Consider the following 15,255-nt stretch of genomic DNA (forward strand, 5'->3'; position numbering starts at 1 on the left):
GCGTCTGGCTGAGCCACCACAGGACCCTGGTTTCAGGGAAATAACCTGGCGTTAAGAAGAAGAGCACAGAGCCTGGCCAACGTGGTGAAGCCCCGTCTCTACTAAAAATACAAAAATTAGCCAGACATGGTGGCACGCGCCTGTAATCCTAGCTACTCGGGAGGCTGAGGCAGAAGAATTGCTTGAACCCAGGAGGCGGAGGTTGCAATGAGCAGAGATCGCGCCACTGCACTCCAACCTGGGCAAAAAGAGTGAGACTCCATCTCAAAAAAAAAAAAAAAAAAAAGCACAGAGACTCAGCTCTTCCACGGCTGCTCCAAGAAGCTCGTGGCCAGCGGGGCCCTGAGATGGGGTTGCCAGCACACACCTCTGGCCCAGAGCCAGATCTGAGAAGAGCAGGAAGAGACTAAGTCACTGGTTTCCCAGGACACCAGAACCAACTGTGATCCAGAAATGGTCCACATGGATTGCTAGAGACAAAGAAAAACTTAGACTTCCCACCACGGCAGGTTTCTCCACCTCTCTGAAGATTCCTTTTCCCTGACGCTCTATCACTCTCCAATCAGTCTCCACTTGCTGAAAACCACAGTCAACAAAATCTCAAATGTCTACTTTTCTGTCAATTTAGCTTCAAGAAACTCAAAAGCCCTGCACTCAACTACAGCACAGGCCTCAGGAGGCAAGGCAGGGCCTGCACTCTGATCCCAACCCCGGGAGGCCACGCATCCCACCTGGTCACTGCCAACGTCTTCACACTGCCTCTGCACTCGCCTGGAGGGGGCCCTGCAAGAGGATGCAACCCACACACATTCCACACGCAAGAGAGACAGGCATGCCCTCAAGCCCATGGCTCTCAGCACTGTGGGTGAGTTGAACTGCAGAAGTTGTACAGTGAACAAATAATGCTCAAATATACTCACAGGGACAATATTCCCCAGAATTCCTCCTTCCTCCACCCCGAAGGAGATCATTCTATACATAACGCAGAGAACAGAAAAGAACATTGTTACCCAGAGTAATAATACCACTAACATCACAGCCCAGAACAGAGGAAGGAGCTCTCCAGCCAACCCCATGGCCGCCAGGCACGCAGCTCCCCGCAAAGTAAGTACACTGGGCTTCGCTTCTTCATCACGCACGCGGGCCAGGACATGAACAGGGATAGGGCTGGGGCAGGAGGCGGCCTCCCCACCAACAACCCTCTCTCACTTCCAGCGTCACCTCACCAGACAGATTAAAAGTACTGACTACCAGCTGGACATGGTAGCTCATGCCTATAATCCCAGCACTTTGGGAGGCCAAGGCAGGAGGACTGTTTTGAGTCCAGAAGTTCGAGATTAGCCTGGGCAACATGGCAAAATCTTATCTATACAAAAAAAAAAAAAAAAAAAAAAAAAAAAAGGCCTGGTGTGGTGGCATGCACCTGTGGTCCCAGCTACATGGGAGGCAGAAGTGGGAAGATCACTTGGGCCTGGAAGGTGGAAGCCACAGTGAGCCGTGACTACGCCATTGCACTCCAGCCTGGACAACAGAGTGAGATCTTCTCTCAAAAAAATAAAAAGTACTGACTACACAAGGGAGTCCCGGCACTGCCAGGCTGCGGTGTCCATGTCCTGACCTAGGGTTTCACTGAGCAGCTATCTGTCGCCTCAAGCCACATAACTTTTCAATATGCATGCGCATTGCCAATTAAAAAGTGAAAATAGAAGCAAGGGGAAAGGAAGGACATGTTTTCACCACCTTTACTTTCCCACGTCCATAGATTCATTTTCCAACAAACATTTTATCAGATGCCTGCGCTATGACAGGACCACAGAAAGAAATGAAGATAAGGAAACAGCTCAGTGGAGGACGGGGCTGTGGTCTTCATTGAGATGTCTTCCTAGGCTGAAGGGAGCAGGGGCCTCTCAACATCAGGACACATGCATGGAGGCCAACGTGTCCTTTCTGGAAATGTGAACGGGGTCGTGAATGCGGTCCCCACAGCACCAGTCCCCTGTGGCCCGACTGCCCCAGCAGGTGCCAGGTAGACCTCCCCCCCGCACCCTGAAACGCACCTGTCCTCCTGGGCCTAGCTGTGCTGCCAGCCTGCCACTGAGCAAACAGGGGTCAGCAGAGGGCTGGATGAGGGGTCCTAACAGAGGAAAATGCTCATTTCGCTGAGCAACTGCCCAGCTGAGCAAAGCTGCCTGCATTTACCTATGGGGTCAGCAATTCCGTGGGAGAGAGAAGTCCTGAGGGAGGAGGGAGAGGGGGCAGCACGCAGAGGCTGTTGCTTAGCAACTCATGGCAGCTGGTGGAAGGCAGGGACGGGCCAGGCCTTGGGCCTTGGGCCTTGGGCCTTGGGGGTAGACTGTGGCCCTGTTACAAACAGGGGTAAACAGATGGCCCCAAAAGGCAGGGGAAAGGAAGGACCATCGCTAGTAAAGATGCAGTCTCTGGGGTTTGAAGAAGGGTTGCAAAAAGTAGCTTCCTTTCATCAGGCCGTGAAAATAAAGGATGAGTCAGTATCTAGTGGTACTCTAGACACTAAGAATTCACATGGCAAACCCACTTGAAAGGCCTTTATTCCTAACTATTTGTAGGTAAAAAGTCATTGTTCCTAAGAGTTTGAAAACAGGAATGGGAAAATGAACAAAACCTAAGCAGAGATCAAGGGGCAACTGGATGATGAGTGAGCACAGGACTCTGTGCTGCAGGAGTCCAGATCCCAGGCAGCCCAGGACTGCAGGAGTCCAGATCGCAGGCAGCCCAGAACAGGAGCTGGTTCAGCAGGCCCAAGCCGAGTGGGGAGTTCCGTGACTTGCCAGAGCCCTGAGCTGGGGTCACCTCCAGGGTCAGTTTCAGAAGTGTCACCTCCCTTGTCAAAGCCTTGCTCTGACCCACTGTCCCACTAATTCTCCAGCAAAATGCACCCTTACCACCTGCACACGAACTTCCATTCCGTGGTTGGAGGGTGGCCAAAAAGCTGCTCCATGGCCTTAGACTCTCCCCCACCACCATGTGATTGACTGAACCACCCTCACCCAGGACAAGGGAGCTGCTGTCTGTCGGAGAGGATGTTCCAGACCAGCTAGCAGCACAGCAGGCACCACGGGGCAGGAATCTAACTCCACGTGTCCTGGGAAACACCACAATTACATGTTTGCAATGACCCCTTCTACATGGCTGTTTTCAAATCTATTAAGCAAACAAACCAAAATTCTGACACCACCAGAGGAACATTCAAAAGCAAAATATAGGTCAGGGAAATTCCAAGTTACAAAAAAATAAAGACTGAGTGCCCTCTAGCGGCTCAATGCACACTCTTCTGTGGTAAGTGATGAATGAAACTTTGCTCCCTTGCAATGTTACAGAGAAAATAAAAAGGATTATTCATAACCGAGAGCCAAAGTACCTCACTTAAAGTGACAGCCGCATATCATTAAGATCTCCAAAGGAACCATATAAGTTGGTGAAATACTGAAGTATGAAAAGTTTCCATCATAAGTTAAACACTAGTGGGTATTTAAAAGTCTCTTACATTGGGTTTTGAGAGGCAATGTCTTCCAATGCTTGGAACCTGGGCTGAAGGTAATCATTTAATGTGACATGAATGCAGCCATAAATCCAAATTAAATAAACTCAGTGAAATCAGGGTCCATCCATGTAGATTTGCTGGTCCCCAAACAGTGACTGAGAAGTAGATTATGCTGCTACAGCTCATTTGCACCACCGTTCAACTCCTGGTCCTTCCAGTAACCAAGGCACACTCCTCTCTGCCAAGGATATGACAGTAAATCTTCTGGTGAGGAACTCAAAGCATGGTTCCCCACAGCTCTGCATCTTAAGAAGTCAAGCTAGGCCGGGTGCAGTGGCTCATGCCTGTAATCCCAGCATTCTGGGGCCAAGGTGGGCGGATCACCTGAGGTCAGGAGTTCAAGAGCAGCCTGGCCAACATGGCGAAACCCCATCTCTACTAAAAGCACAGCAGGCTTCTAGAAGGAGGACAGGCTGCTTCTTACCTGTCTTCGTCCTTCTCAAACAAAAGAAAGAGTCACAGGAACTACTCAAGTCTATGCATTCACTGACGGCAAAATGCAAGAATAGCTGGGCAAAGCTGGAATGCAAGAGTGCAGCCAAAGCGGCAGTGGCAGGGAAAGACCCTGGACTGGGATCGGGAGACCAGGAGCCCCAACCCAGAGGCAGCCACTATCTGTCAACTTCACCGACCCTGAATCCGTACTCTCTTCTGGTGGTTTTCCTTTAGGGAATCACCCTCCCAGCCCTTAACCATACAGTCAGGGGTGGCCCCAACCCCCACACCAAGAAGGGTGTGTGACCAAGGCCAACTGTCCCCACCCCCATCCCCATCAGGTGTTACACAGTAAAGACAGGAGGACTCCCACTGGAACAACTGAGTCAATCAGGGCCTTTCTGTTGGGATTCCTAAGCCCAGGATTACCTGGGAGCTCCTGGGCTCACCATGTGGAGAAACTCTACCCGGAAAGAAGCCAACACTGAAGAAAGGAGAGCTTAAAGGGGAGGGGAGGGGGTAGGGGCATGAGGGAGAGAGACGAACAGATGGAGTCTTAATGGCATCCTTTGAGTGCCGGGATCCAGCCATGCCTAACATCAGCTCTACCTCTAGGCTTTTCTGACACATGAGCCAATACATTCTCTCTTGTTGAAGCTATTTTGAGTCAGGTTTCTATCCCTTGTATACAAAAGGGTTTTGATTAATTCATTCACTCTACAAATATGTACTGAATGTTTTACTGTGGGCCAGGACTCATCAGGCAATGTACAGATGAATGAAACAGTCCCCACCGTGAGCTGCTTCAATGATAAGACTCTTCAGTGTGGAGCAAATAAATGCACCAACTATCTGCACCTCTTTACCTTCCAGGCATACGATGAGTCAGTCCCCAGTCCCCTTGTGACTTGGGAGGCCACGTGGCTACTTCTAACCCGGGAGGGGGAGAAGTGACGTGTGCCATTTCTGGGCCAGAGCCGTAACTGATGGTACAAGATCCTCCCCAAGGCCTCCCCTTCCTACTGGCGCAACCCAGCAATATTCAAGATGGCGAACACCCTCTGGGACCAGGACGAGCAGAGCCACCACCAACTGCAATGCGCACGCAGCGAGAGTGAGAAATAAACCTTTTTATTTTAAGCTACCGAGATCTGGAGATTATTTGTTACCATAGCAAATTCGACTAATACCCTCTAAGAACAGTAGCAGGGAAGGAAGGAATCAGACAACACACAAGGATATAAAATAAAAGGTGGTGTCTGCAAAGGGCTGTGGGATGCTGAAAACAAAGCTCTGCCATGGACAAGACCCTTAGGCAGGGCTTTACAGATAAGTACAGGTTTCCATAAGAGAGGGCAAGGAAAGTTTAATATATGCCTTTTTAAATGTGGGAATATTTAAAGACATTTTCAAGTTGTAGGTAAAAAGGAAATAAAAATGGAACTCAACAATGTAGGAAATAACATTCCAAATCAAAACCTATGAAATGGGGTAAAAGATGTACTTGGAAGAAAATTGCAGAATCTTAAATGATTTTATTATTAAACACGATGAGCAAATAAGCTAAGAATTCTGCTTTTCAAAGAGGATGAATAAAGATAAAATATAGAATTAAATTAAGATTAAAGAAAAAATTAATAACTTAAAAACAAGAGAACCAGTAAGTAAAAGTAACAGCTGATTCTTTGAAGAGACTAATGAAATATACAAACCTCTCATAAGCCTGACCGAAAAAGGAAGAGTCCTCCCAAGATAGAAAGCGAAGGAAGGAATCTAATCACAGGCGCATACTGAATGTTTAAATTAGTTACAAACTTTATCACAGCATCCTTGTAAACTAGAGGAAATTGGCCATTTTTTTTAGAGGATGTGTATCCCAAAAGTTAACACAAGATGAAGTGGAAAACATAAATAGACCAATAACCATGAAAAGAAATGTAATTGGTTGTCAAAAATCCCTTCAGTGGTTTCACAGAGAAGTTTTATCAGACCTTCAAGAAACAGGTCTTGCCTTTTGTTTAAACTATTTTAAAGCCCAGAAAAAAATGGGCAGCTTCCTCTGGATTATGACATAAGAGAAAGCTGCAGATCAGGGGTCTGCAAACTATGGTCCACAGGTCGATTCAGCTAACAATCTGTGCGTATCAACAAAGTCTCATTAGAACACAGCCACGTCCATTCATTAACGTATCGCCTATATATACCAGCGGAGATGAGTAGCTGTGACAGAGACCATCTTGCCCACAAATCCTAAAATACTTACTATTTGGCCTTTACAGAAAAAGTTTGCTGACCTCTTCTATAATTGGGCCTCAATTGTAGAAACAGAAATCCCAAATACAAGTTAATCACATCAAGATGGACATAACTGTAAAACTCCCCACAAGTCATTCTCTCTTTTTTAATACTTTTTTTGAACAGTTTTTTAGGTTCTCAGCAGTACTGAGCAGAAGGTACAGGGTGTTCCCACAGTGCCCTGTCCCCACATGCAGCTACCCTCACTAACATCCCAGAGCAGATGGCACGTGATTCTTCTTGCTACCTCACGTATTTGGTAGTTTGTTTATTGTCTGTTTTTAAAGCTCCACTGGGACAGGAGCCTAACCAAGTGCCTGGCACATCACAGACTCTCCGCAAGTCTTTGCTGAATGGAGAGTGGGTAGGAGAAAAGGAGGACCACCTGAACAAGCCCCATCTGAGTCAGCATGCCCTAAAGTGTTTGCAGAATGGCTAAGATAAAATGGTAGAGGCATAGCCAACACTGAGCTTTCTGGGCCCACCCGGAACCTACTTTCGTGGATGCAGTCAGGGCCAGCTGTGTTTGTTTGTTTGTGGGTTTTTTTTGTTTTTTTTTTTAGAGGCAAAGTCTGGCTCTGATGCCCAGGCTAGAGTACAGTGACGTGATCATAGTTCACTGCAGCCTCGAATTCCTGGGTTCAAGCAATTCTCCTGCCTCAGCCTCCCAAGTAGCTGAGACTACAGGCACATGCTACCACACCCAGCTACTGCATGCATTTATTTACTTATCTATCTATCTACCTATCTATCTAGAGACAGAGTCTCACTCTATCGTCCAGGCTGGAGTGCAGTGGTGCAATCTCGGCTCACTGCAACCTCTGACTCCCAGGTTCAAGAGATCTCTTGCCCCAGCCTCCCGAGTAGCTGGGACTACAGGCGCGTGCCACCACGCCAGCTGATTTTTTGTATTTTTAGTAGAGATAGGGTTTCACCATGTTAGCCAGGATGGTCTCAATCTCCTGAACCTCATGATATGCCCGCCTGAACCTCCCAAAGTGCTGGGATTACAGGCATGAGCCACCGCGCCCGGCCTTAAGTTTTTTGTAGAGTCAGGGCCTTGCTATGTTACCCAGGCTGATCTCGAACTCTTGGCTTCAAGCCATCCTCCCACCTCAGCCTCCCAACATGCTGGGATTATAGGCATGAGCCACTGCGCCCAGCCGGGGTTAGCTGTTTTCACCCATCAAAGACTCTGGGGTCCAGAGGAGCTCCGTAGAGATGTGCTCCAGCTGCTCCTGCCCTGGCGGCCCCGTGTTAATTGAACCAGTAGTTGAAGGGGTACGTACATGTGGTCGCTTCCCTCAACGCTGCCAACCAGAAGAACCACAATGGCAGTGGCATGGGGACAACGTTAATGATCGCCCGACAATCGCTGGGCATCTGCTCCACGCCAGGCAGCCCCGAGCACCTGGACATATCTTTACTCATTTCATCCTCCCCCCAATCCTTGGCTATCCTTTGCCCATTTTTCTTTTCTGTTGTTTATCTGCTTCTTATTGATTTGGAGGAGGTCTTTCTGTAATCCTTCTTTCTAATCTTCTCATCTTACTTCCTTCATTAATTTTTAATGGTCATATGTATTGCAAATATCTTTCAGCCTGAGGTCTGTCTTCTAACTTTGTTTACAGAGTCTTTTCTCACACAGAAGTTTTATATTTTAATATAATCTTATTTCTCAATCGTCTCTTTGGTTTATGCTTTGTCTATCTTGCTTAAGAAGGCCTTCCTAACCCAAAGGCCATAAAAATATTCTCCAATGTCTTTTTCTAAGATTTCTCAAGTTTGTTTTTCATACTTTAAGTATTTAATCCATCCCATTTTACAGCTGAGGAAACAGGGACACAGACATTAAGTAACTGCTCTAATATTCAATAAGTATGCATTCATAAGCAATACATGCAATTGTTTTGAAAGTTACTTAAATGCTACCACATTGTTCATTTCCTTTCAGAACTTGTGTTCATTCAACATGCCTTTGTGAAGGTTTATCCACCTGATACGCATAGATCTATTTCATTCATTTAACCGACACACAGCATTTCACTGTCCAAGTAAGTCAGTTTATCCATTCCCTGACTGGGAAACCAGCAGCTGCTGTGATGCTGAGCCCGCCCATGTCTCCTTATACACATGAACCGGTTGTTCTCTCTAACAGTCGTCTGGAAATGGCACTTCTGAGTTGTAGGATATTAACTAAATATTACAAAATCACTCTTCAAAGCGGCTGCACACATCCCATTCTTCCCACGGTGGTAAGAGTTCTGCTTTATCCACATCCTCAGGAACTTTTGCACTATTAGACATCTGGATTCCTCCAATATGAGGGGAATAAAACGGTTTGTCATTTTATTTTCATTTCTCTGATTACCAGTAATACTGAGCATGTTTTCATTTGTTTATGGTTATTGGTTATTCTGGTTTCTTCTCTATAAATTCCCTCTTCATATGACGACAGCGTTAGCGATCGCCCAGCAACTGCTGAGCACTGTCCATTTTTCTTTCCTGCTGTCTATTTCTTATTGATTTGGAGGACTTCTTTCTATAATCTTTCCTCTTTCTGATCTTCTAATTCTAACATTTCTGAAGTTTTGGTTTTTAGGCCATCTGGAATTTATTATTGTACATGACATGAAGCTAGGACTGAATTTTATATTTTCCATGTGGGCAAGGGATCACGCCACACCATTTACTGACTGCTACTCCTTGCGGTAAGCGGAGTAACTGCTGCCACCCCAGAGATACCCACGTCCTAACCCCAGAACCTATACATATGTTCAATGCCAAGGGACTAAGGTGCTCATCAGCTGACCCTGAGATGGGGGGATGACCCTGGATTATCCAGGTGGGCCCAATGTACTCACAATAGTCTTTGTAAGTGAAAGGCAGGGAGGCAGGAGGGTCAGAGTTCAGTGACAACTGGAAAGTGCTACATGGCTGCCTTTGAAGATGGAAGAAGGAGCCAAGGGACGCAGGTGGCCTCTAGCAGCTGGAAAAGGAGAGGAAATGGATTTTCCCCTGGAGCCTCCAGAAGGAGCACAGCCCCGCTGAGCCCTCGATTTAAGACTATAGGACCCACTTTGGACTTCTGACCTCCAGAATTTTAGGATAATAAGCTCCTGTTGCAACGTCACTAATTTGTTGTAACAGCAACCAGAAACTAATATATTCCTTCTCTTCAAGTTGTCACATATCACACTTTATATTTTGTCCCATTATCTATTTATCTCTCTCTGTATCAATGCTATACTTGTTCTAGAAATTAGAACATTACAGTAAGTCTGAAAACTAAGAAAGGTGAAGCCTCCCTCCTTCTTCAAAATTGCCTTGGCTATTCTTGACTATGGTTTTTTTTTTTAATTAAAAAATAACCCCAGCATTTTGGGAGGCCAAGGTGGGAGGACCACTTGAGGCCAGGAGTTCAAGAGCAGCCTGTACAACACAGCAAGACCATATCTCTACAAAACAAAAAACTTAGCCAGGCACGGTGGCACTGTCTGCAGTCCTGGCTTAGCCGGGCACGGTGGCACTGCCTGCAGTCCTGGCTTAGCCGGGCACGGTGGCACTGCCTGCAGTCCTGGCTTAGCCGGGCACGGTGGCACTGCCTGCAGTCCTGGCTTAGCCGGGCACGGTGGCACTGCCTGCAGTCCTGGCTTAGCCGGGCACGGTGGCACTCCCTGTAGTCCTGGCTACTCAGGAGGCTGAGGCGGGTGGATTGCTTGAGCTCAGGAGTTCAAGGCTACAGTGAGCTGTGATTATGGCACGCACTCCAGCCAGAGCAACGAAGTGAGAATTTATCTCTAAAAGCAAAACAAAACAAAAACCCTGGAATATATCCTAAAAGAAAATAAATGCAGCGTATGGGAGAAAGACACACCAGGCGGAGAGCATGAGCCAAGACTCAAAAGTCCGGAAAACACGCAGCATGGTGAGTGAATCACAAGTAGCACACACAGCTAGAAGACGCTTTCAAACCCCGGGATGATCGGCCCCGGTGGGGATGATTTCAGCAGCCAAGAGACTATTAACAGGACTTCTACTTCTGGCCAAGAAGAGTAACAGTGATCAGATTGACCCTCCCATCTAAAATACATTTTCTTTTAAACACAAAATATGTAGAACAGTGGTTTTCAAGACAGTGGACTTCAGGCAACAAAGGAGAGTGATCCCAAGGGCTGGGAAACAGAAGAGGGAAGGCCTACCCTGACCCCAGCTTACTGTGTTCAGTGAGTTTGCACCAGACAGGATGAGCAGCACAGAGAGAGAATGCCAGCCATTTACAGAGGGTCCCACCCTAGCATTCAGTAGAGCGCGGATCAGGAAACTTCCTAAGGCCAAAAGAGAAAGAACCACCAGAGAGGATTACAGGGAATAGGGCCTGGTCTTCACAGGGCAGGCAGACATAGCGCTGTTCCCTCCAGCCACCTGGTAATCCTCATTCTTCATGGGACACCGGGCAGAGCCCTCTGGGGGCACCTGTCATCTCAGTGAGGAATAATCAGCCCTAGATGAAATGCTGATCTGATCTCACCTAACCAATCTTAAGAGCAAGACCCAAAAGGATCTAACAATTTTCAAAGCTTAAGAATATTTATCAGATACAAAAACATTCAGTATCCAGTAAGAGAAAATTCTCAGTATCTGGAGCCCATCAAAAGTTATCAGACATCCAAAGAGGCAGGAAAACAGAACCCAATCAGGACAAAAATCTATCAATCAAAACTGATCCTGAACTGACAAAGATATTAGAATTAGCAAGCCAGGATATTAAAGTAGTTATAACTGTATTTCTTAAGTTCAAAAAGCCAGAGGAAACACTGAACATGTTAAGTCAAGACACGGAAGAATAAAACAAGCCCAGACGAACTTCTAGAGATGAAAACTATAATATCTGAGATGAAAAGTATACTGAAAAGGATAAATGGCAGATCAGACACTCCAGAAGAAAAGAACTTGAAGTGAACTTGAAGACAGAAACTATCTAAAATGAAACACACAGCAAAAGGAGGTTATGAATAAAAGTGAACAGAGTATCAGCGAGCTGTGAGGCAATTTCTGGCAGCCTGATAAACACGTAACTGGGGCCTCTGAATGAGAGGATGAGAGAGAAAGACAGAAGAAATATGTGAAGAAATAATGACCACAATTTTTCCAAATGTGATGAAAACTATAAATCTAGAGATCTAAGAAGCTCAAGGAACCCTGGCAAAAAAATCAGTTAAAGAATCATTCTGGGCAAGCAGAGGCAGTGGCAGACTGGTTTTAAAATCTCCTCCAAACGCCTCATGAAAACAGGGCAGCCAGGGAAGTAAAACCAAAGCCCACAGATGGCATCCACAAATTGATCCAGCCCAAAAGCCCGACAGCAGGATCAGCCCATCAGAGTTTATAGTTAATTTGATTAGAAGGTCTTCAAAACATAACTAGCTGCTCTTTTCCAGTGCCATAACTATATCTTTATTTACTTATTTATTTTTGAGACAAGGTCTCACTCTTTTGCCCAGGCTGGAGTGCACTGGCGTAATCACGGCTCACTGCAGCCTCCATCTCCCGGGCTCAACCAATCCTCTTGCCTTGGCCTCCTGAGTAGCGGGGACTAAAGGTGCACACCACCGCGCATAGCTAATTTGTTTTATTTTTAGTAGAAATGGGGTCTTGCTATGTTGCCCAGGCTGGTCTTGAACTCCTGAGCTCAAGTGATCCTCCTGCCTCAGCCTTCTAAAGTGCTAGGATTACATGCATGAGCCACCATGCCTGGCCTGTATCATAATTTAAACACATGAAAATTTCTTTCCAGAGAAGGTAGTCATATTTTTCCTGAAAGCTAGCTATACAGGTTCATTCTCTGTTCAGGCATTTCTACAGACATGGGCAAACTATGTTTATTATGTATTACTACTGTACTTCTAAGTAACTTAATCAAAAATCAGAGTACAGAGTGGATCCATGGGTTCTGCATCCATGAATTCAACCAGCCTTGGATTGAAAATATTTTTTAAAAAATGGATGGTTGTATCTGCACTGAACACGTACAGACTCTTTTTTTCTTGTCATTATTCCCTAAACAGTACAATGATTTACATAGCATTTGCACTGTATTAGGTATTGTAAGTAGCCTAAAGATGATTTAAAGTACAGAGGAGGATGTGCGTAGATTACAGGCAAATACCACACCATTTTATATAAGGGACTTGAGCATGTGGAACCAGTCCCCCACGGATACCGAGGGATAACTCTAATCATGTTTGTATTTAATTACAAAATATACCCAATTTATAATCTAAGGTCCTCCGTTTTTCATAATTATGTTTCTCAAAGGTTGATAGGTATTTTATTTTTAAAATATAACTATATGTCAAAGAGTGTATGTCAAAGAAGGAAAGATATCAGATGTAAGCAGGGAATGGGTTTTTTTTTGTTTGTTTTGTTTTGTTTTTTGAGACAGAGTCTTGCTCTGTCGCCCAGGCTGGAGTGCAGTGGCACAATCTCGGCTCACTGCAAGCTCTGCCTCCTGGGTTCACGCCGTTCTCCTGCCTCAGCCTCCCAAGTAACTGGGACTACAGGCGCCCGCCACCACATCCAGCTAATTTTTTGTATTTTTAGTAGAGACGGGGTTTCACCGTGTTAGCCAGAACGGTCTCGATCTCCTGACCTTGTGATCCACCTGCCTCGGCCTCCCAAAGTGCTGGGATTACAGGCGTGAGCCACCGTGCCTGGCCAGGAATGGGTTGTTTTAAATGATCCTTTATTATGACCCTTTGTTTAGTTTTTTGAAATTATGTGTCCTATGCCTTGAATGCATTCAATTTTATCAAATGAAATTGGAAATTCATTCTAAACCGACTCTGACAGGAAATGCATGCATGCCTACCACCCACCACCACAAGGGATTCTAGTACAAGGGGGACTGTACATTTCAGTGCCGTTTATAAAGATGGGATTATTAATGTACACACTGGTGGTAAACAGAAATCTTGAGAACAAGCTGTTAGGCACAAAATTCAAACACTGAAAAAACAAAACAATTAAAACCATCAAATGCATCACCTCTATGAAAAGAAGGAAAATACTTAATGATGTAGTTTGTCCCAAAGAAATCAACTATTAAGTTTTGGTACCGGAATATTCTTAGATAGCTCAGAGAATCCTGAAAGACCATGTTTATTATGTATTACTATTGTACTTTTAAGTAACTTAATCAAAAATCAGAGTACAGAGTAGGTCCATGGTTTCTGCATCCATGAATTCAACCAGACTTGGGCTGAAAATATTTTTTTTTAAATGTGTCTGCACTGAACACGTACAGACTCTTTTTTTCTTGTCATTACTCCCTAAACAGTACAATTTACATAGCATTTGCACTGTATTAGGTATCTCAGAAAATCATCAACTTCATCAAATTCATCAACTTAGAAATGCATGTGCTGCTTCCACCAACTGTAAAATCAAATTCAACAAGACCAGTTCCCATAAATTAGAATCTCAATCCATGAAGAAAACCCCTCCTGAGTGATGGAAGCACCAGCAGCTTTGTAGCAGGACTTGGGGCCATAGCCGAGCACAGAAAGCAACTCCTCCCTCGACACCCGGGCATCACCAGCTGGAGCCCAGAGGAACACAAAGCTCCCTCCCGGGCTTGCACGTTTGCTCATTCCCTATCTTGCCATCTGGAACAGGCAGAAAGAAGGAAGTCATCACCTGCGACTAGGGATCCTAGAACCTTCAGTGGTGAGAGCTCCAGACGCCTAGAGCCAAGGCCCCATACTCATTCAGGTGGACTACTCCAACACTCCCTCGTACCTTCCGCCCCTCACTTCAGTATAGGTGGAATTCTCAACCAGGACATGGGTCTAAACCAAGAGGCTCTGAGCACAGGGTACTGCCTCAGCAGAAGCAGCTAGGCTGACGGCCAATAAGAACTCTTTAACCTCCTAACCATGTGGACTTGCTGCCACCCACAGGGCCAGGACTCTACCTCTGCTGGCAGCCCTTGCTGCTTGTAGCCAATTGTGACTCCTTTTCTTAAAGCCACAGACTCAGATCACACACTCCTAACTTTCGGGCAGGGCTTCAAGGTGAGTAGACAGACGGCTACTTCAACAGTGCAAACGCAAGGTGGCGGTCCTCGGCTCTCGACCACCCTCTAACTCTCGGGTCCCACATTTGCAGGGCATCCATGTGACGTGTCCTTTTAAATGCTTAGTTGGGGAGCTGTCAAGTAACTGAGCTGACTCTGGGCTGAAGCACAAGCTTCTGGGCCACACTTCATCACTGTCCAATTCTACACCTTGGTATTAAGCAAAAACCCAACTAACAGATTCCATTAATGCAATCTACGACGATTATCTTACAAATGTGGTGATTACCGTACTAGACTAAGTACCTTTCCCCGGGAAGAGATGGAAGTGCTGCCTGCCATGTGCCTGGCCAGTCAGCTCTCTGGAAACACTTACTCGAAGGGGACGTGGGTGGTTTCCTGGAAGGCCGCCGCTCCACTTTGGGGCCACTGACAGGCTCCGTGGGTGCATCCAGGTGTTCTTCTGAGCCCAGCGAGAACTGGAACCGGAGTGTACCCGACTCCACCTGCTTCACCTGCAATGGACCAGAAGAGCAGTGATGGCCACTCCCTTCATCAGCACGCCTATCAGAACGATCCAACCAGGAACAGCAGGCTCTGCCCTAAAACAAAGTCTACGTGAAATCAGAGGCTTCTTGATGCCACATGTTCTCAGATTATAATCAAGTAGTTTGAGCAAAAAGCAATTGGTGTGGCATTAAAAGCCCTGCAGACCATATGATCATGGAATGACCCTTACCCAAGCAGAAATCGCAATCTCTCTCGAGTTGTGAATGTTGTCATTGACCTATGTGAAACTGACATCTTTATTCTGGGTATGGCTCTGTGGGTTTTGGCACATGCACAGATTCACATAACCAGCACCACA

At 46.0% G+C, this 15,255-nt stretch overlaps 1 protein-coding gene across 32 annotated transcripts in view, besides 1 other annotated feature; it reads right to left on the minus strand.

The window, feature by feature from the left end:
- NPHP4 (nephrocystin 4) overlaps window positions 1–15,255 on the minus strand; it is a 129,615-nt gene that overhangs the window by 50,075 nt on the left and 64,285 nt on the right. For all 32 annotated transcript variants that reach the window (NR_111987.2, XR_007058632.1, XM_006710563.4 and 29 more), the window contains one exon: window positions 14,764–14,902. Coding sequence is in view for 30 of the 32 variants with exons in the window: in XM_006710563.4 (XP_006710626.1) it covers window positions 14,764–14,902 (139 nt within the window). In the remaining 2 variants the exon portion in view is untranslated. The remainder of the gene's footprint in view (window positions 1–14,763; window positions 14,903–15,255) is intronic.
- Window positions 7,009–7,509: an enhancer, noted in NCBI's record as "H3K4me1 hESC enhancer chr1:5979954-5980454 (GRCh37/hg19 assembly coordinates)". NCBI's record gives its function as "activates a minimal SCP1, AML or CMV promoter by ChIP-STARR-seq in naive H9 embryonic stem cells {active_cell/tissue: H9 hESC(naive)}" and the evidence as "EXISTENCE:reporter gene assay evidence [ECO:0000049][PMID:30033119]".

This window comes from Homo sapiens, chromosome 1 (assembly GCF_000001405.40).
Source record: "Homo sapiens chromosome 1, GRCh38.p14 Primary Assembly".
Lineage (NCBI taxonomy): Eukaryota > Metazoa > Chordata > Mammalia > Primates > Hominidae > Homo > Homo sapiens.